The sequence below is a fragment of the Homo sapiens genome, chromosome 3, assembly GCF_000001405.40.
Source record: "Homo sapiens chromosome 3, GRCh38.p14 Primary Assembly".
NCBI lineage: Eukaryota > Metazoa > Chordata > Mammalia > Primates > Hominidae > Homo > Homo sapiens.
In genome coordinates this window covers 105,651,785-105,673,594 of record NC_000003.12, presented here as the reverse complement: position 1 = coordinate 105,673,594, position 21,810 = coordinate 105,651,785, and the positions used below count along the sequence as shown (strand labels likewise).

General features: G+C 35.5%; 1 protein-coding gene across 44 annotated transcripts in view; it reads left to right on the top strand.

Annotated features, from left to right (window-relative positions):
• The window catches only part of CBLB (Cbl proto-oncogene B), a 213,989-nt gene extending 195,855 nt beyond the window's left edge, over window positions 1–18,134 (top strand). For 33 of the 44 annotated variants that reach the window (NR_135809.2, NR_135812.1, XM_011513257.2 and 30 more), the window contains 2 exons: window positions 3,243–3,362; window positions 14,366–18,134. Coding sequence is in view for 35 of the 44 variants with exons in the window: in XM_011513257.2 (XP_011511559.1) it covers window positions 3,243–3,362; window positions 14,366–14,625 (380 nt within the window). In the remaining 9 variants the exon portion in view is untranslated. Of the gene's footprint in view, window positions 1–1,132; window positions 2,575–3,242; window positions 3,363–14,365 lie in introns of those variants that run through there. The other 11 variants (NR_135811.2, NR_135807.2, XM_047449117.1 and 8 more) reach the window with 9 other exon arrangements.

The following is a 21,810-nucleotide window of genomic DNA, read 5'->3' as shown; positions in this document are numbered from 1 at the left end:
ACCTAAATGGCTCTTCAAACCTTTTTTAGCATTAGTTTCTGCTTTGATATACTCTATTAAAATTTGGGGGATAATTGATAAATCTTCCAGGTGGTTTATGGATGGCCAGGGAGGAAATTTGCCATTGTTTTAATTATTTAATTTTATTTGCCTCTGTTTTTACACTTGGTAAAAATTTGGAAGTGTTTCAGATAGTGAAGAAAAAAAAGAATTAAGAAAAACATTCCAGGCCAGGTACAGGCTCATGCCTGTAATCCCAGCACTTTGGGAGGCTGAGGCAGGCATATTTCTTGAGCTCAGGAATTTGACACCAGCCTGGCCAACATGGTGAAACTCCAGCTCTACAAAAATACAAAAATTAGCCGGGTGTTGGTGGCTCGCGCCTGTAGTCTCAGCTACTTGGGAGGCCAAGGCAAGAGAATGGCTTGTGCCCGGGAGGCAGAGGTTGCAGTGAGTCAAGATTGAACCACTCCACTCCAGCCTGGGTGACAGAACAAGACGCTCTCTCAAAAAAAAAAAAAAAAAAATCCATACTTCCTCCTCCTAATCATTGATAGGTATCCTTCCTTTTTTTTTGTTGTTTTTTTGTTTAGTTTTGTTTTGTTTTTTGCCTACGAGTATGTAAGTTCACATTTATGTAAAATTTATTTCTCATAGTATATGCTATTTATAACCATTTTCCAGTTAATATGTCATGAGCAATGTATATAGTTGTTAAATATTTGTACACAATATAATTTTTATTGATGTATATTTCCTCATTTCTTTTTTAAGTAGCAAACCATTTCCTCCCAGTCTTCCCTTAGTTTTTTATAATCTCTCAAATAAGTACTAAATTTTCAGTTTTGCAGTGCTGTACTATAAATCACAGGCAGTAGTACTTTGCTTTTTACAACAGATTAGTCTCTGTATGTGTATCCATTTATTTCTCAAACACTTATATAAGTGATAAATTGGCTGTGATCATTTCAGTTTGTTTTAATCCTGTGGATATAATATTTTTCTTTAGTTTTTGAAGAATTTATTTTAGAAAAGCTTTATTACTTTACAAAGTTTTCTTATCAGGGGACAATTGGTAATTATTATACTCTGTGTAGCAATTGTGTTATATCTAATCTCTTTCCCTTTAAAGCCTGAATGCTTCCAACTTTATAATTTGCTTTAGAGAGCCCAGTTTACCCTATGGCTGACAAATAGCAAACTTAGGATATGATGCAAGATAGAACATGATAATGATTCAAAACAGAACCATAAGCAGGTATTTTTGCTATTTATAATAATATTTTGAGTGTATCTAGTACCTTTTAAATAATATAGTTTAATGGAAGAATATAGTACAGTGGTATATTTTATAGTCTATGTATGGCTCTGAAGTGTATCCAGAGTTTACTTTTTAACCTTAAATAAATAGATGATTAGAAATAGCATTAAGTGTATTTGACAAACCTATAAATTTCCCGTAAAGAAATAAGCAAGTGTATGTATTGTAAAAGACAGTCTTTCCTCTGACTTAATGTTGTATCAGGGGCATTTAGAGTCTACAAGAACCTAAAGTAAATTTTATGAAATATCTAGTGCAAAATCTTTGGGAAATTTCAAAATTTATGCTGAAATCACCATATTTGTTTCCTTTGGTTTCTCTAACAAACCAAAAGATCAACATTGTCTCATGCGATTTATCTTCTCATTCCTTCCTAAAAATATTTCTGGAAAATTAATGGAGCTGGACCACCAATTCTTCAAATATTGAAAACTCAAAATCTAAGAGTTATTTTAATCTTGAAATTAATGAAAACAAGTTAAAGAGCCTTGTCTAAGTCAAAAAGTCCTCAGCAAAGCTGGTGATAATTATTATACTCCAAAAAAGGTGAAAAGATAATGGCTTCAAATCCTGCCTTACATTATCCAGTCAAAAACTAATATAAAAATAGTCAATATTTAAGCCTATGTTTTCATCGTAAGTAATCAAATACTTACATATTATTAATGTCTAAGGGAGTGGAAGTTAAAACAATGAAATTCAATCGGGTCTTCTTTAATATTTACAATTTTTGCTTTACATTAGCAATTCAGGTTTCACTGATTTTAAAATTGTGAACAATCTGAATTTGTGTGGATTTATTTGTGGTAGTTAAAAGTAAATATTAAGTGCAAGCTATTTGCCAAGAGTGTTCTAGGTGCTATGTTTGATTTAGGAGGTATAATTCAAACATGAGAAGTAGGAAAAGATCCCTCAGATCCCTGTCCTCAGAAGAATTGACGGTACTTTCAGAGATATCGACAACATAAAAGTACTATGAGAGGAAAGCAGCGGTGCCTGAGGTGGGAGTGATAGCTAGATAAATTATTAGTGAACCAAGGTTTTCAGATGTAATGTTTGTCTACTCAAAAAGGGAATCAATTCTCTAAGAATTTAAACCCATATAATACTATGAATGTTAAACCAGTTGGGTTTATGGTATTAATGATTTAATACAGCAACACTGACAAAATCTCTTTTTCTCCCTTTAGTTCCAGTTAGTAAATATCATATTTTTTACTATTTCAGATGCCCCGTCTCTGACTGCCAAGGTGGTAAATTATCACATTTTACTGTATATTCAAATGTTAATTACTAAATGGCATAATTTTAACAATTAAATTTACTATTTTGTGAGCCAACTAACAACAATGATGTTAAGCATAGGATGCCCAATATAATAATAAGCACCTTGTATGTACAGAAGATTTTACATGCACAAATTCATTTAATCCACACAAATCCGAAGTTTCAGGTCTGTTTTACAAATTTTGTATGCCCAATGCTTAGAGAGATCAAGTAATTTGATAATACTCTTATAGGGAGGATCCAAACCCATGGTTTTATGTATATTTGTTTGTTTGTTTTTTGCTTTTACTTTAGAACAGTTTCTATACATTGTACAGGTTGGATTGGGACAGAAAATAAAATTTAGAAGCTGTTTTTATTGTCAACAATCTTATAATTAAATATATCTGCAAAATATAAATATAAAACAAGTAGTCTTTATTATCTGGAAATAAATGTGAAGAGCATATTTAAGCAAGTGATGAATAAATTAGAAAATATGCAGGCAGTAAAAAATGGTTAATATCAGTCATGAATTTAATTTTCTAATTTATTTTTGAAAGCCATAATCTTCATAAAATAATTCTAGAATTTTTTTCTTCAGCCAATCAACAGAGATCATCCTTTTAATTTGAAACTTGTTTTTATTTTTAAGATCCCTTTGTTGATCTAGCAAGTGGCCAAGTTCCTTTGCCTCCTGCTAGAAGGTTACCAGGTGAAAATGTCAAAACTAACAGAACATCACAGGACTATGATCAGCTTCCTTCATGTTCAGGTGAGTTGGCTAGTAACAGTAACAATAATACCTTATTGTTATATAGTGCTTTTTGCTTTTCAGAACACCTTCTTATTCATTATATAATTTAATGAATGTTGTCCACCCAAGAAAGTATTTTGATCATCATTGCATTTTGCTTATAAAGCTGGCATTGTGAGAGGAATGGCTACAGAACTGCCTCATTGAAAAGAAAAATATTAAGCTTAATATTATCTTTGATCACTCAGTGGAGCCACTTCTTTGATTCAAAATGTATTCATTATCTAACTTTCATTTTGTCTCAGATTTAGGAAATGAGGAAAATCTCTTTGTACATTGCAATGCTGTTTTATAGCAATCTCTATGGAATTAATACTGGCACCAAACTATTCATTTTCTTAGCTTATTTAGGGCTCCAACCAGTGCTGCACTGACAGCCATCAAATAGAAGGATGTACCATTTTTGTAAATACAAGTCATACTCACAACCGTTAATAATGGAATGCTGCTTCTTTGCTTCTTGAGGAGGCTTTCCCTGAACATATCTAAATAGCTCCTATCTTCTGCAGTTATTTTCTTTCCTTTTTTGCTTTATTTTTCTTCATAGCACCCGTCACTACTTAAAATTTTGTTATTCAGAATTCATTTGGTTGATTGTTGGTTATCTGTCTCGTCTGCTAAAGTATTAACACTTTGGAGATAAGAATGTTGTCTGGTTCACTGCTTGTCCTAGTCAGTTCAGGCTACTATAACACAATACCATAGACTGGATTGCCTAAACAGCAAACATTTATATCTCACAGTTCTGGAAGCTGGGAAGTCCAAGATCAAGCTACCAACATTCAGTGTCTAGTGAGGGCCCTCTTCCAGGTTCATAGATAACTGCCTTCATACTGTGTCCTCACAAGGGCAAGGGAGTGCTCTGGGATCTGTTTCATAAGGAAACTAATCCCTTTCATGAGGGCTTCCCCTGCATAATCTAATCATCTCCCAAAAGCCTCCCCTCCAAATATCATTACAAAAGGGATTAGGTTTTAACATATGGATTTGCAGGGAAAAGGGGACAGACATTCAGTCCATAGCATTGCTTTATCCTCAAGTGTCCAACATAGTGCCCAGCATATGTCTCTTTGATGGATAGTTGGGGATGGATGGATGGATGGATGGATGGATGGATGGATGGATTTGAGTGGACAAATAGGCAAAAGGAGGGAAGAATAGCTGATGTCTGTATTAAACTAAATGCAAATATCTGATAAGCAATATTTTTGTCACATATTTGTGAATATCAGAAGTTTTCCTATATGAACTTTTGTCTTATTTCAAAATTTTTTTAAGCTAAAACCTCAGTTCATAGAAGACTTGCTAATACTATTAGCAATACATTCTGAAACTTCTGAATCAAGATAATTAATGAGCTGTTTTAAGAATTGTCAGTACGGTAGTTCTTACGTGCTCGATGCCATGCATGGGAGATGCAGAAATCCCTGTGTATTTATATGTTTAACTGCTTGCATGTAACTCAGGAAAGCATAGAAAATCTTTTTAATCTTTTCAAATTTTGGCCAGTGTTCTCTTATCAGTTTATTTCTAGTCATTCTAAGGTTTCATATGTATCCATGAGTAGCCTGTAATTCCAGTCAAAATAATTTGATGACAAAACATGAAAGTCAAGAAAGAAAGACAATATCTGACAGCTTCTATATAATATAAGGAAGCAATTTTTTTTAAAGAAAATAGTATTAAAATATAACTTTGAGCAAAGTGCTATGACTGATTTAAAATAACATATTCAGTACCACCAGCTCTGGATTAAAAGAAACCTATACTTTAGTTAGGGGAAAACTTGTAGCCAAAACACAGTGTTTTCACAGCTTCTTTACAGTTTTCTCCATAATAAGTGGGTGTTGTAGAGCCCAGAGGAACATCATTCACATATATGATTTCAAGCAGTATGAATCCCTATTAGCATTACACTAGAAATGTCTGGAAGAACTTCAAATCACAAACCTTGTTGAAATATCCCCGAATAGCCATTTGCCAGAAGCCTGAACTGGCTTTTACCTAAGTAATAAAAGACTCCTGACTATTACTCTGAGGGCCCAGCTAGCTGTAACATCAAATATTTCAATCTACTCCCTAAATTCTCTTTACAAACACAGTCAACCACAGAAAATAAGATACTTTTTTCCAACATATGTTTGTTCACATGAAGTTCACAGGCCTACCAGGCTGTTCACTAGTTTATTTTACATCAGCAGAGAGACTGAGCTTGCCTTCTAGATGAGGTCTTTCCATTCAACCCTTGAGACTGAATGCATATGCGCCTTTAGGATTCTAATAGCTCTTATTTTGCAGTAATTAATCTGTTTTTATTAAGGCCTTTTTAAGATGACCAAATGGGGTTCTGGTATGATTGCTCTGCCTTATGAATTCAAGTTCTGTTATCACTTATGGCTGTCTAAATAATTGATAGTCATTTATGAATAGGCTTCTATGGAAAGTATATTTCTAAAGAAGTTTAAAATGTAGTTTCATTGATTTTAAAATATCTCCCTTGTTTTCTTATCTAAAAAGTATGTCTGCATGTATATGTATGTCTACATATATAAAGAGCCTTCTAAATGTTTATTCCTCCCAAAGAAAATATTTTATGCTTTTCTTAAAGTTTTTCTAAATGTATAATTGAAATTTAAATATATGAACGTATCATAGGTAGTCCAGATATAAGAAGAGCTTACCAGCCCATGTTAAATTCACATATATCGGTATATAGGACAAACATTTTTGCTAGTAATCTGCTTGTTTCTTTACATGGATGTATTATTCACATGGGGCACATGTCTCTTCTATCTATGTGTGAGGTTTTACAAATTTCTCAGTTTGCTTTTCTCTTGTTGTAAGACATATTGTACTACAGTTTGAATACCATTCTTTGAAAACTAAAAGGCTGTATTAATGAAGTGCACCATTCACTCTTGAGGTGATTTTTCATATTGTTAGTATTTAGAAGGAAGTTCAAGGTAACACTTGAAAACAATGCTTGATTTTAGCACAACTCAAATGTGTTTGAAACCATTAAAAGACCTTATTGCCAAATAAGCCAATCTCATTATAAAATAAAGGAGATCTCATTACAAAATGAATTAATTTCAATACTACCATTAGTTTACTAGCTTAAAGGAGAATTGTTGGAATGTTGAATACATTTTATATTAGGACCAAGTATTCAATAGTTTATCTCTGTTAAGATCTCAATTGGAAATCGTGGCTTCACTTCACGCAAGGGTTGGAATTTTAAGGTAGATTATGTGTCTTTAAGATTTTGTGTTTCAACAAAGGAAATGGCAATGTTGAGTTTTCCCACAGTTTAGCTATGTGAAATACTGGGGCTTACAGACAGCTTCAGTTTGAAAGCCAGAGAACCTAGAGTTGTTTTCCTTACAAATCTAAGATTAAATAACCATTTTCTGGATATATTTAAAACAGTGTATGTGAAGATTTTTTTATTTGTAATTTAGTTTATTAAATCATGTCCTTCTATAGGCAGTATTTCTTTTTTTTTGAGATGGAGTCTCGCTCTGTCGCCCAGGCTGGAGTGCAGTGGCGTGATCTCAGCTCCCAGCAATTTCCACCTCCCAGGTTCAAGTAGTTCTCATGCCTCAGCTTCCCGAGTAGCTGGGATTACAGGCATCCACCATCATGCCCGGCTAATTTTTGTATTTTTAGTAGAGATGGGGTTTCACCATGTTGGCCAGGCTGGTCTCGAACTCCTGACCTTGTGATCTGCCCACCTCAGCCTCCTAAAGTGCTGGGATTACAGGCTTGAGCCACTGCGCGTGGCCAGCAGTATTTCTATAGAGGCAGTAATTCAACCTTATGGCATAAAAATGAATCCCAGAATTAATTGATCCAACTTCTAGTAGAATAACAAAGTTAATCATAATGTGTTTGAGATTTCTTTTATTCCTTGATCAATTAAGTGTATTTATATTTTTTTCTAATTCTGTTATTGTTATAGTTGAGAAGGTCAGTAGTCTAAGAGTTTTGATATCTGTCCCAAGAATTGTCACTGGTTTACTAAGTAAATTTAGACAGTATGTTTCAGATAATATATACAATATTATTTTGTCTAATTAAAATTCGTTAAGTTTGTTAAGCATTTACTATAGTCCTGATGCTTTGCTAAGTATTTTAGAGACAGATATATAATTTTTTTTTTTTTTGAGACGAGTCTCACTCTGTTGCCCAGGCTAGAGTGCAGTGGCACGATCTTGGCTCACTGCAACCTCCACCTCCTGGGTTTAAGCAGTTCTGCCTCAGCCTCCTGAGTAGCTGGGACTACAGGCGCCCACCACCATGCCCAGCTAATTTTTACATTTTTAGTAGAGACGGGGTTTCACCATATTGGCCAGGCTGATCTCAAACTCTTGACCTTGTGATCCGCCCACCTCGGCCTCCCAAAGTGCTGGGATTACAGGCATGAGTCACCACGCCCAGCCAGATACAGATATATAAATTTTATATAAGTTAATATTATATATAATTGTATTTATATAGTTATGCAGTAAAATATAAATATTCATGTTATTTTATTTAATAATGTATATTTTATATTATCTGTTTATAATTATACATTTATATATTTGATATTGTTATACAAATATATGGTTATATAATATGGTATAGATATAAATATAAATTTATTTTTACTGTGTAATATAGAAATAGATATAATTTTATTTCTCCTAACCACTCTGAAATATATATATGTGTGTGTGTGTGTATATATATGTGTGTGTGTGTGTATATATATATATATATATATATATATTTATTTATTTATTTATTTATTTATTTTTTTGGAGACAGAGTCTCGCTCTGTCACCCAGCAGGCTGGAGTGCAGTGGTGCAATCTTGTCTCACTGCAACCTCCACGTTCCGGGTTCAAGCAATTCTCCTGTTTCAGCCTCCCAAGTAGCTGGGACTATAGGCAGTTTTTATATTTTTAGTATAGACAGGGTTTCACCATATTGGTCAGGCTGGTCTTGAATTCCTGACCTCAGGTGATCCACCTGCCTCAGCCTCTCAAACTGCTAGGATTATAGGCGTGAGCCACTGCGCCTGGCCTGAAATAGATACTATTAATGTCAATTTATAGAAGAAAGAAAGACATAACAAAGTTTAGTAACTAACTCAAGCTGCTGCAGAAAGTGTAAGCCTGATAGAATTTACATCAGTTTCAGTTTTTTAAAAATTTGTTAATAAAGTTTATGTTGTTATCCCATCATCATGCCAGAATTAAGTTAGAAAAAAATGTACACATGCATCTCACGTCTCCAGACTGAGTTTGGAGATGTTCAGTGGTAAAATCATGATAATAGTGATGGAATAGTAGTGATGACAAAATAATGAAGGGTTTTAGAAATAGTAAAACTGTACTAGAAATTTCAAAATCTAGATTCTGATTATTTTTCACATGACCTTAGGAAAGCCACTCACTATGTACTTCCTATATTTTTCACATGAGCGAAATCGATCTCTGGTTCTCAGTCTTAGATACTTGTGCAGCTGAGGCCTTTAAGAGTATCAGAGGAGATCTGAGACTATTTTGTTGTTGGTGGTGGTTTTTCTAATTATGCGCATATTATACACGCATTGGAAAATAAAAGGAAATTACAGAGAAAACAATTAATAAGAAAAAGCAATCACTTAAAACCCTATCTTCAATAAGGAACATTATTGCCATTTTCAAGTGCAGCCTTCTAAATGTTTTGTCTATGCACATTTTCACTTACGATCTTAAGATCATACTCAATATGTCAATTCTATCTCAGTTCCATTTAGGAGTATTATAAGTATTTTACCACATTATTTTAAAAAATAAATGTCATTTTAAATTATTGTATGACAATCCATTATTTTTATGTACTATCAAATACTATTTTTAACATTTTGAAAGTCTAACAGAAACCCTAACTTTATATACTAGAAAACTTTCACATTAAATCCCTTTGCTGTGACCTAGATATACAGAAGCTCAGTGTTATATTTATTGTTGAACATGATCCAGTATAATAGAAAATGGGAAAATGTATTCATCAATACAATAGCATTTGCTTATTAGACACATCTTTCAGAATATAGAAAAAGAAAACCCAACCCAATCTTTAGATGATGAGGGGAGTAATAAAGACTTTTTGTGGCAAAATAATTGACAGCCACTGAAATGAAATATCCTCAGTTCTTTAAATGGAGGTTATGTAGATATACAGCAGTGCGTCTCACTTAAAAAAAAAAAATATGGTCTGCCTACGGGCCTTTTGGACACTTTTTTTTTTTTTCCTAATAAGCTTTCTGTCCCCAGCAATAATGAAAGTTTAAACTACAGATGTGCTTAGTAGACATAGAGATAGAGGTATATCTCTATGTACCATGGCTCTTTGGAAGGCCACAAACCATTTTACCATCTAAAATTGTTTTCTTTCATCCCACAAGAACCAATGATTGCCCCCGTCTAGAATGTATGACCTAGAGTAATCATTCTGGGTATTATTCCAACCATGTTAGGCTAATTCCCATGCAATCCAGGAATGTTCTGTTTGTCACTCTGTTGGAGGCTGAAAGAATGAGGGTCGTGATCAACTCACTATACCACTGGAGGCTATATGAGTGAACAGCAAACTGTTCTCATAAAAGCAGAATGTTGACAAACTGACAAACTGCATCTGCTGCCCAGGAGGAATGCTGAGGGCAGTCACGACCCAGGCACAAGTGTTGCTTTTGATTAGGCACATCTGAAGCCTGTTAACAATAATGTGAACCTGTGATCAGTCAAGCAGCTGACCAATCGTTACCTCCTCATCCCTGCTCTTTCTACCCAATAAATACAAAGGGCTATGGAAGCTCAGGGCTGCTGCCTTTGCTCACTTCTTCTTCCTCAGACCCTTTCCTTAAAACAGTTTCTTTTGTTTTTTGTTATCATTTCTAGGTTCTTCCCTTAGTTCAGTCTTGTAATGATGGTCTCAGGTAGTAACAGAAGTAACTGTTGTAATGACTGTCTCAAATAGTAACAGCAGTAACTGTGATAGTGAAGGTCTCAAGTAGTAACAGCAGTAACTGTGATAGTGAAGGTCTCAAGTAGTAACAGCAGTAACTGTCATGGTGAAGGTCTCAGGTAGTAACAGCAGTAACTGTGATAGTGAAGGTCTCAGGTAGTAACAGTAGTAACTCTCGTAGTGACGGTCTCAAGTAGTAACAGCAGTAACTGTTGTAGTGAAGGTCTCAAGTAGTAACAGTAGTAACTCTCCTAATGACAGTCTCAAGTGGTAACAGTATTATAGTAACTGTAGTATTGATGGTCTCAAGTAGTAGCAGTGGCGGTCGGCCACATCACTCTCTTCTTTTATATGCTCAGAAAAGGAAAGCTGAATCAAAATTTACTCCTAAACCAGGGCTTCTCAAATCTTTCTTTCTCAAAGAAGAGTTGACAGTGAACAACACAAGGGCTGGGACATTAGGTAAAAGAGGACAATATTTAGTTTTTTAGTGCAAGACATTGTTTCTATTTTGTCTCAAAAATTTGTGCAAACTTTATATTTTACTCCTTAGTGTATCTGTATTCATTTCAGTGCTTTAAAATATTAATGACCTTATATCTTTTAAGAAAATTGGTAACCCAGAAGATGTACTATTTATATTCTGTGGCTCACATTCTTGTACTTATTTTGATACCACTGCAATTACTCATAAGAGTTCAAAAATACCATGAACATGGATGGTAGCACTAGAGCAAACACATGCTTTTCCAAAATAACTATTTTTAAGGATGATGTATATTCAGGTACAGAAATTCCACAGGGTTGATAAAATTTATAGTTATTTCAGTGTGCTCCCAAACTGCAATATAATAATCTTAGGGGACCAGAAGATAGTTTCATCTTCATTTCATTGCTTCCTTCCACTACCCTACACATTCGAAAGTGCTAAAGTAAATGAGGACCTGGTGTAATCCACTTTTAGGTACTGTGAAAAAGAAAAGTGGAGAAAGTGAAGGCTGCGTCTGGGCTTTGGGAAGAGACAGAAAGAGTAATCGGTTCTAAGCAATTTGCTCTAATGGTCAGTGTGGAAATGATCTCCTCCTCCCCACTTTTTAACAGCTTCCACTAGTAGTTCAGGTTGCACCAGATCTTGCTTTTTAATATTCTGCTAGAAGGCTTTCTGTAGAATCAGATACTCACAACAAATTTTGTGTTCTTTGTTCTTTCACACTTCTCTGGCATTCCTGTTATAGTAATTGCTGGTTTATAGCATTTGAGTATAGCACTTATCATTATAAATATTAATTCATTGTTCTTTCTTTTTAATGGTCTCCTCAGTCCATATACTGTATATTACATTAATTGTTATACTACCTGGTTGAAAGGGATAAATAATACCTCTAAACACAGATATATAAAGTAGATTTGGAGAATGAGAATTGTGAAAGTAAATTGCTTAGCCCAAGATCTTAGCGGCCAAACTGAGATTTAAGATTCAATTGCCAGTTATACCATTTATTAGAGGCATTCGTCATAGTATTCATCCCACTTGTATACACAGCTGTTCTTTTCAAACATGCCTGGCATTCATGTGCACATCTCAGTATCCTGGACAGACAAAATAACAATATTAAAAATCTCTTAGAAAATTACCCGTAGAAAACAAGTTAATTGTTTTCTAAGTCTAGGTACTTTTGTATCAAAGTCTAGGTACTTTTCTCATCTAAAAGTGTCTCAGAACAGACATGATTTAAATGTATGAATTTTTTGGTAATTGATTAAAGGAAAGCTTTCAATAATTTCTAATAGTTTTGAAAATGATTAAAAGCAAAACATAATTTATTGTCCATTCCTGTATGACATAATGAAAATAATAGGAAAATAAATGGAACTACAAAACATACTAAGAAACGCAGTTTATCAGACGATAATAGTTTGAGATGTTTAATTACAGATGCAAGAAACAGTACAGATATTAGCAAGAACCAGAAATTATATGTTCTTATATATGGGCATACTTTAATATACATTGTCTACAGCTATAATATTTTCTAAAACTGGACATTTTGTTACAAAAAAGGAATAATTTAAAATAAGACTGTCATCATGGCCGGACGTGGTGGCTCACGCCTGTAATTTTAGCATTTTGGGAGGCCAAGATGGAAGGATTGCCTGAGGACAGGAGTTCGAGACCAGCCTGGTCAACATAATGAGACTTCATCTCATTTAAAAAAAAAAAAAAAAGAAGAAGACATCCTATTTGATGTGGAAACAAATGCTTTTATCCTAGAGGCTTTGTTTTATGTATGTTATATTGATATTGCTATAATTGTATATAGGATGATGTTTTTACAAGTTACCTTCTCCTGGAAAAATATCATACATCTTTTGATTTAGAAAGGAAAAATATTGAATAATACATCAGATTAGCTTTTATTATTTACGTTTATTATTATTGAAAATATCAGCTTACAGTATCTCCTGAAGCCATTGGGAAAGTTGCTGAGGCAGCAGGAGTGGGGAGACAAGATGGGAACATTAAGCATGAGACGTTTGGCTTTTAACCTCACATCACCATTCACTTAACTCTGTCCTTGAATTTATTGTTTGGCATTTGTCAGTGGTCTGAGAGAAAGGTATTAAATATTGTTGTCTAGATAGTCTTAAATCCATAAGTGTATTTCATGACATAAAGATGACATTTTAAAATGTATATATGGGCCAGGTGCGGTGGCTCACTCCTGTAATCCCAGCACTTTGGGAGGCCAAGGTGGGTGGATCACTTGAGGTCAGGAGTTCAAGACCAGCCTGATCAACATGGTGAAACCCTGTCTCCACTGGGAAAAAAAAAAAAAATTAGCCAGGCATGGTGGTGCACGCCTGTAATCCCAGCTACTTGGGAAGCTGAGGCGGTAGTAGAATTGCTTGAACTCGGGAGGTGGAGGTTGCAGTGAGCTGAGACTACGCCATTGCACTCCAGCCTGGGCAACAAGAGTAAAACTCCATCTCATGTATACGTATAGTGTGTGTATGTGTGTATTTTTTGTCTAGGCTTTTGAGATAAAGTGCTATACATAACCAGGAAATACATGATGAAAGTGCCCTGTCAAGTTAGCTAGCCCATGACCTGGGACCTTTTCTTTTTTCTTAAGGTTACTCTCCATTCATGGGTGCCAATGTCATTGGTTTAAATTGGAGGCTGTATTATCACCAAGGGACTAATCTAGAACCCAATTCTCTACTCCTAATATTTCTTCTAGGTTTGCTTTTTCTTGAGCAAAACTTCCTACATTGCAATCTGTATAAAGTATTTGAGCAAAGCACTGAGTTTCCTTCCGTTCAGCCTGTTGACTAACAGTAGAGTCAAAGCATCTACTATTTTGTTTTTTTTTTCTCCTAGCATCAGTAAGGCACAGATTATTAACTTGAAAAATCAGCTAGGAAAATGCTACAGAGCATCTGTTTTAGAGCAGTTCTGCTGTGACATGGATGGGACTCAGGACCTGTGGGGACGTTCTGCCATGGCTGTTTGTGAGCTTGTGAACAAAGTTTCCTCTCATAGAAACCTCCCAAGATTGTTCCTCTGGAGAACCATCAACCAGAGCCTGTGCTGTAGTAGAGTGTGAACTGTATTGCTAAACAAAGTGAAAGGCTTCCCTTTTTAGATAGTTATTTTAATTATTTTTTCCTTTCTCTATCTCTCTGACCACATATGGCTTGAAGAATAAAATGTGGAATAGAGAAGGAGATGTGTAAATTTCTCAGTGGAACTACCAACACACTGTACCTTAATTTTCTGTTGTTCAAAATGAGGATAATACTACCTATCTCACAATAGTATGGAAAAATTGAAAAAAAGTTTATTTGTAAAGAAAACAAGAAATAATATTTCCATAGGAAATGAGATAATGCTGTTATGTTATCTTGCCTTCATTTTTATTTCACTGTTTAAATAGTATCTCTCTTTAAAAATCTACACAGATGGTTCACAGGCACCAGCCAGACCCCCTAAACCACGACCGCGCAGGACTGCACCAGAAATTCACCACAGAAAACCCCATGGGCCTGAGGCGGCATTGGAAAATGTCGATGCAAAAATTGCAAAACTCATGGGAGAGGGTTATGCCTTTGAAGAGGTGAAGAGAGCCTTAGAGATAGCCCAGAATAATGTCGAAGTTGCCCGGAGCATCCTCCGAGAATTTGCCTTCCCTCCTCCAGTATCCCCACGTCTAAATCTATAGCAGCCAGAACTGTAGACACCAAAATGGAAAGCAATCGATGTATTCCAAGAGTGTGGAAATAAAGAGAACTGAGATGGAATTCAAGAGAGAAGTGTCTCCTCCTCGTGTAGCAGCTTGAGAAGAGGCTTGGGAGTGCAGCTTCTCAAAGGAGACCGATGCTTGCTCAGGATGTCGACAGCTGTGGCTTCCTTGTTTTTGCTAGCCATATTTTTAAATCAGGGTTGAACTGACAAAAATAATTTAAAGACGTTTACTTCCCTTGAACTTTGAACCTGTGAAATGCTTTACCTTGTTTACAGTTTGGCAAAGTTGCAGTTTGTTCTTGTTTTTAGTTTAGTTTTGTTTTGGTGTTTTGATACCTGTACTGTGTTCTTCACAGACCCTTTGTAGCGTGGTCAGGTCTGCTGTAACATTTCCCACCAACTCTCTTGCTGTCCACATCAACAGCTAAATCATTTATTCATATGGATCTCTACCATCCCCATGCCTTGCCCAGGTCCAGTTCCATTTCTCTCATTCACAAGATGCTTTGAAGGTTCTGATTTTCAACTGATCAAACTAATGCAAAAAAAAAAAAGTATGTATTCTTCACTACTGAGTTTCTTCTTTGGAAACCATCACTATTGAGAGATGGGAAAAACCTGAATGTATAAAGCATTTATTTGTCAATAAACTGCCTTTTGTAAGGGGTTTTCACATAACATAGAGGAGCTTCCCTTTTTTGTTTAAGTTTTGTAACCTTTAATCCTCCATATTCTCATGTCTGTCATCCCAGGGGTGTCACAACTGTAAAAATCTACAATATTAGAAAGCAGCTACTACAGATGTGGAAGAGAGAACACTTGTATAAGACAATGCTGTACTGAAGTTATATAACAAGGTCCCCTGATACTTATGCCTGCATTACTTTGAGGGATGCTGAATGAGAGGACCATCTCCCTGAAATATATTAATAATTTTCAGATAAAATTATGAACATAACATACCTTTTCTCAAGTGGAATTAGAGTTCATTTCCCATTTAAGTGATTACACTCTATCTCCTAAGAGCTGTGGGAACCAGTTCATATTGCAGTGGAAACATTAACTCTTCGTTGCACTGTTGAGTGTCAAGGCTACTGTGGCAATGTTTTTTGCAAAGTTCTCAGTAATTTTCTCTCTGCAATCAAATTAGAGTTCATATTTAATTTGCAGATTCTCTCATTCATTGCTCCACACTGCTTTATCAAATCAGGTGAAAGAAATTAATGTAGTTTTGCCTATTTTACAAAATGGTGGTTGGTTCTTTAAACACCATGTTATTACTCTTAATAAATCTACAAATATTTATTGAGCATCTATGATATGCTTGGTGCTGTTAGGCACTGTGTTTTTAAAGCACAAACTCTCAAAAGCTGATTCCAGCGTAATGTTTTATTTTTGTTTTTCTGTGTTTTTTATGACAAAGTCTGTCTGATAGACAAAGCCTGGAAGGTTTCCCCCAGGGCTTTAGAATTTAGAATTAGCTGGTTTTCATTTCAAATGGGAAATTAATGGAGAAATGAGATAAAATCATCTCTGTGTAAATGCTTGAACCCACAGAAAGTTTTCTAAATATGGACTAATTGTGGGTTTGTGCATATTTCTGTGTCTCCTCTTTTCACTTCACACCCACCATGATATAAAAAGATGCATCAGAGAGTGAGCCTGCCTTCAGGACCTGAAAGGACATGACTGAACATCTAGTAGATCTGGTGGAAATTAATGTTATACAAAAGACACGTAGACTAAGTTGACCCTGGGAGAGGAGTTAATACATTCCTTTGCAAAGTGACATGTGCCCTTTTTTTGACAGTCTGGCTTTCATGGTATGAGATGAGGACTCACAGGCCTTGGGTAATTTCTGCTTTTGTATGAATTTTTTCAGATGGTTCTGAGCTGGTTATGTCCCTGGAGGGGAATTTTTCATTTGCCTTAGATGTTCTTCCCATGAGTAGGTACATGAGTGAAGTTTCTTACACTTTTAAAATTGCATTGGCAAATTTTCTTTTGCTTTATGAACCCCTGTTTTGTCATTATGATTTTTCACTTGTTTTAACAGTTTCAGATGTCACCTTGGAATAGCACTGTTTATTTTGGCCTTTTTATGATTGCTGATGATAGGTACAGTCTAAAGGCCAAAAGTTGCCACTTCATTGTGATAACATTGTTGCAACATTCCTAATATATTAGAGAATGATGTAAAATAAGAATGTTAGAGAACATAGCACATTCTCATTCAGTTTATAAACAATATTTGAAAATTTCCAGTGAGAATTAAAAAAGGACTAGTGATGATATAGCAAACCTGGACCTGAAATTTGGGGGTGGGGGGTGGGGGGATATCTGTTTTGCAGAGAAAATTTACCAGCCTCCAGCAAAATCTCTGCATCTTGTACTCAATAGCAACCATTAGTATTGTCATTTAAAAAGAATGAATCAAAAATTCATACGTAATGGAATGAAAAGAGGAAAACTTTCTATTAAACACTGTCAAGAAAGACCCATTGCTATCTATCACCTATGAAATTAAACCTAAAAAAATTTTTTTTTATTGTAAAAGCGACTGCTCGTTGATGTCTGGAAGTGATCCAGACTTTGTTTCACTGTGATCCAAAAAGTTAGACATTCCTTCCATTTCTCAAGATTTGGTAACAATTTTTTTTTAAGTCAGCATTTCATATAATACATAAAATTAAGACAAATTAACTTACTGATATGTGGCCAATATCAACCCTTCTCACCCAACCCAAACATGTTCTGGAGATAGAAGGACTTATCCTCAATTATATTCCAGTAAATTTATCTCCATAATCTGTTTTATCCCCTAATGTATGATATATCTCACCAAATTTTTCTAGAATTGAATAAAAGCAGTTTTTGCTTAACTTGAATTTCCTTCCACAAATACAACCTTCAGCTCTTCCCTCTCTGTTTCCCTTTTGCCCACATTGCAAATAGTCTTCATAATAGAACCCTCACTGCAACTTAAAAGGGTCCCATTTCTTAACTCAGCATTTCATATACCAAGAACACTTGCAAAGATTTCTTCATAATGTGATTTTTTAATTTTTCAGTTCCAGAAGCATTTCCTACAGTTCGAACGTTATTTTTTCTCTCAGATTTTCAACTTGAAGCTTTGATTTGCACTGAATTAACTTGGATAAAATTTTAGTTTCTCTCTTCAGCTAACAGATTTGGAAGCAAATTACAGTATACTTGAATAATTCAGGTACTACCTGTTGACCTGGAATTTTAGTGATTCTGGGAAAGTTTTCCAGACAAAGACACCAATAGAGTGAAGGGTTTTTTCCCCAATTACTATTTTATTGTTTTTTAAAATGCCTTTTTAAAACTTGTGTGATGTGGCAAAATAGTCATATGTTCAATTAATTTATATTTTATTCATTCCTTTTCAATTCTGGTTATTATGTAACCTCAAGTACTTTATCTGTTCTTTTAAAGTATTTTATAAAATGAACGTTAACTAAATGCAGAGTTGGTACTTTATTTTTCAAATGAACACAAAAATTTTAGAGCATTTCTATGATGTAATTTTTCTTTTTCATGTCTAATTGAACAAAGTGGTGCAAGGTGTACCCATCCTAGGTAATTTAGTTATTAAGTACCAAAATCACAATTTTAAGGTAGCCTAATAGATAAAATTGCCCCTATGTCATAGATCTGAATGTCAAAGGTGTATCAAGGTTCCAAGTAAGAAATATCATATCTGGGAAATGCTGAAAGCCTTCAGGATGATGTACTATAATATATAATTGATAATTCCTGATCAACAGTACCATCTGGTCTTTAAATTCCTCATTTCTTAAATCATTTTTTCACTGATCAGTATATAGTGGGGAGAGAACAACAGAGATAACAATGTTAATAATTGCTTTTATATCAAGAATCATGGCAGAATATTGTGAAACTAATTGTTACATGCAAAGTTCCGTGCATAGTAATAACAATTACTTCCTGGAAGCATATACCATGAAATGGAAGATACACATAAGCAAGTAATTCCAGTACAAAAATGTGTGTACAACATACCACATTGTACTAGAATTACGTCTGTATGATAAGTGCTTAAGAACTAATTATTGAGCCTTTATTATGTGTAAGGAGCTTAGTGTCAAAGCATTTAATGCTTTCGACAACCCTGCCTCTTTTAGGACTGTGGAAGGGAAGTTGGGAATTATATTTCTAATAGAAAGTTTGACAACCCATAAGACTAAGTAGTCTTTTGTAAGCCTAAAAGGAGCAAGGATTTGTTGTTGGTATTAAGAAAGAAATTCAGAGTTAAAGCTTTTCAAATAGGAAGAGCACACATGATAAAATATTGTTATTTAAGCAAAGGTGAGATGCCGCTCATCATCACTTCAGTGCTTTGAGAAGACTTGTTCTTCTCTCCTAAAAGCCCCCCCTCCCCCCGGGAAACCTCTGTGGGACTCATTAAGAGGCTGGTGGCAGAACTTCCATTCCTGTGTCCTAAGAGTCATCATGAGCAGAAGAGGATGGGCTGGAGGGTTACCTGGGAAAAGTGAGTGATGAGTGAGAATGTTCTGGGTTTGGTCCACCTCTCCCAATTCAACTAATGATAGCTCCCAGAGAACACCAATTATAGATATTAGGGAACTGGCATTTTATTCTGTTAGAGTCCACACAGTGGACTTACTGATCTGCCATCTGCGGTTACTAGAGCAGAGCAGAACATAACTAGAGAGGAGTCAACAGTGAATCAGGTAATAAGCATCTCCACCATTGGGAGAACAAGGATACATCATACGCCCCTGGGATAGGCAGAGCCCTGTCAAGGCAGCTGAGCTGGAGTTGTCTTGGCAGGACCCAAGAAGGCCACCTGTCAGCCACAGTAACCCAAGCAGCAAGAGACTTTGGGGTATACACTGCTGGACTAGGCACAAGGAAGTCAAGCCAGTGGATATCTGATGTATCTGATGTGTCAGACACTAACCGAGTGTCCTCCCACTTGAGCTTGACAACAAAGTCCACCTTTGAGAACTTACTGTATGGGCAAAATACAAAATCAAACATGCCCTACAATAGCACTTGTAAAAAGAATTTTACTCCTTTCCTTAACTCTTCTTCCCCTATCCCAATCCCAAAGAAGCAGAAATGTAAGAATGAAGAGGAGTGATTAAAAAGGGTACATCTTGCCCCTTCTCTGCTCCTAGTCCCTGAGGTTAAGGGCTGCCCAACACTGGGAGACAGTGGACAGGCTAGACTGAATTAGAATGCAGGTGATTAAACAAGGAAAGATAATTAATAGTTAAAAGAAGTGATTAAAGAAAAAATCTCAACATACCATGTTGGCAGCCTATCAGGTTCAAGGTGTTTAGTAAATTACTAAAAAAAAAAAAAAAAAGCCAGACATTTCATTTCAAATGAACTTTAGTGGTTTCCTTAGTTTAACAAAAAGTATTTATAGTCAGATAGCCATCATTAGAGGGTCCTTCTATGGGGAGATGATGTGGGATGGATAGATGCATTTTATTTCTCTGGAAATACTCCCTGCCTGGCAAGCTCAGAGGGCTCACCCCTGGAGATGCAAATTCTGCCTAACCCCTCCCACAGTCTTTTGAGCAGAGATCCTCTCCTCTGTCCCTTAGCAGTGCAGGGCCCAATCTCACCCAGTTCTCCCTTCACTGCAAGCATTGCTTCCCCCTCAGTAAACTACCCAAACCTCATTTGTTAGCTTGTTTATGAAGTAAATATCAGGGACATGAAATAAAACGTCTGGCAGCAACTTCCCTAGGACATCAGTGACTGTCCTCAAACTACTCTCAAAAGGAGCTGTACATTTCCCTAAAGAACCATTCCAATGTAAGATGCAAAGTATCCTTGCAGAAAATTAAACCTAACCACAAGTGCCTAGGCCCTAGGCTATTTAGACATGAATCAAAAACAGCAGTACCAAGGCACTTATTTGTATAGATGTTTAATCAAGAGTGATGCTTAATGTCTATCTGGAATTTCTTGCAAAAAAAGAGAGGATAGATGGTCTAAAACAAGACTAATATATCTCTACTGGGCATTTTAATCAGTGCTAACATAATTAAATATTTATACAGCACTTTGGGTTTGGGAACATTTTCTGTTTGATTTTCAAAGTTGCATTTCTCAAAATTCTTGTAAAGTAGGTCCATTACACTTGATACCTTCTCTTTGCACATAGAATTTATAAATCAGAGAACATAACTTTCCCTGAGTCACTCAACAATTGACAAGCACTAGAATTATGATCGTATCAATTAGTCCCACCTCATGCATTAGATATTAAAAATAGACCTAAAAACAGTTAGGCAAGATCTAAGCAATCCTTCTGTGGGCAAGAAAGAGAATTTAAAATAAGTATGTGACTTTCACCTCCTGCTATTATCACATATTGCAGGAGGTATCACCCAGAAAGATAAGTACATGTTGACATGATTTGGCTGTTCTCCACCCAAATCTCATCTTGAAATATAGTTCATGTAATCCCCACATGTTGTGAGAGGGACCCAGTGGGAGGTAATTGAATCACAGGGGCAGTTAACCCTCATGTTCTCGTGATAGTGAGTAAGTCTCACGAGATCTGATGGTTTTATAAGGGGCTCTTCCCCCCGTGGCTGGGCACTTCTCTTTGTTGCCGCCATGTATAAGAGGACGTGTTTGCTTCCCCTTATGCCATGATTGTAAGTTTCCTGAGGCATCTCCAGCCATGCTGGACTGTGTGTCAATTAAAACTCTTTCCTTTATGAATACCCAGTCTCAGGTATGTCTTTATTAGTGTGAGAACTGACTCCTACATGTTAAACATGACTAATACATGTAAACATGTTACTTATTGACTAGTTGGGGTGTTTAAAAAATGATTTGCTAATTGGTCAGCACTAATCATGTAAACAAAATCATGTAGTTGAAGCTGAACTACATATGCACAGCAAATTTTGCAAAGAGATCAGCAACTTGAAAGTGTGGATGAGTTAAGCAACCTGCATTCTAAAGTGGCTTAGCACTATGGGTCTTTCTAGTGCCATTTTTAATGTGTGTAAGTACCTATTTTTAAAATTAATTTACTGTTTACTACGAAGAGGAAAGGAAAAATCACCTTACTGCTTGCCATTTTTCAGCAAAGGAAGTGTTCTAATTGCTCAATTCAGTAAAA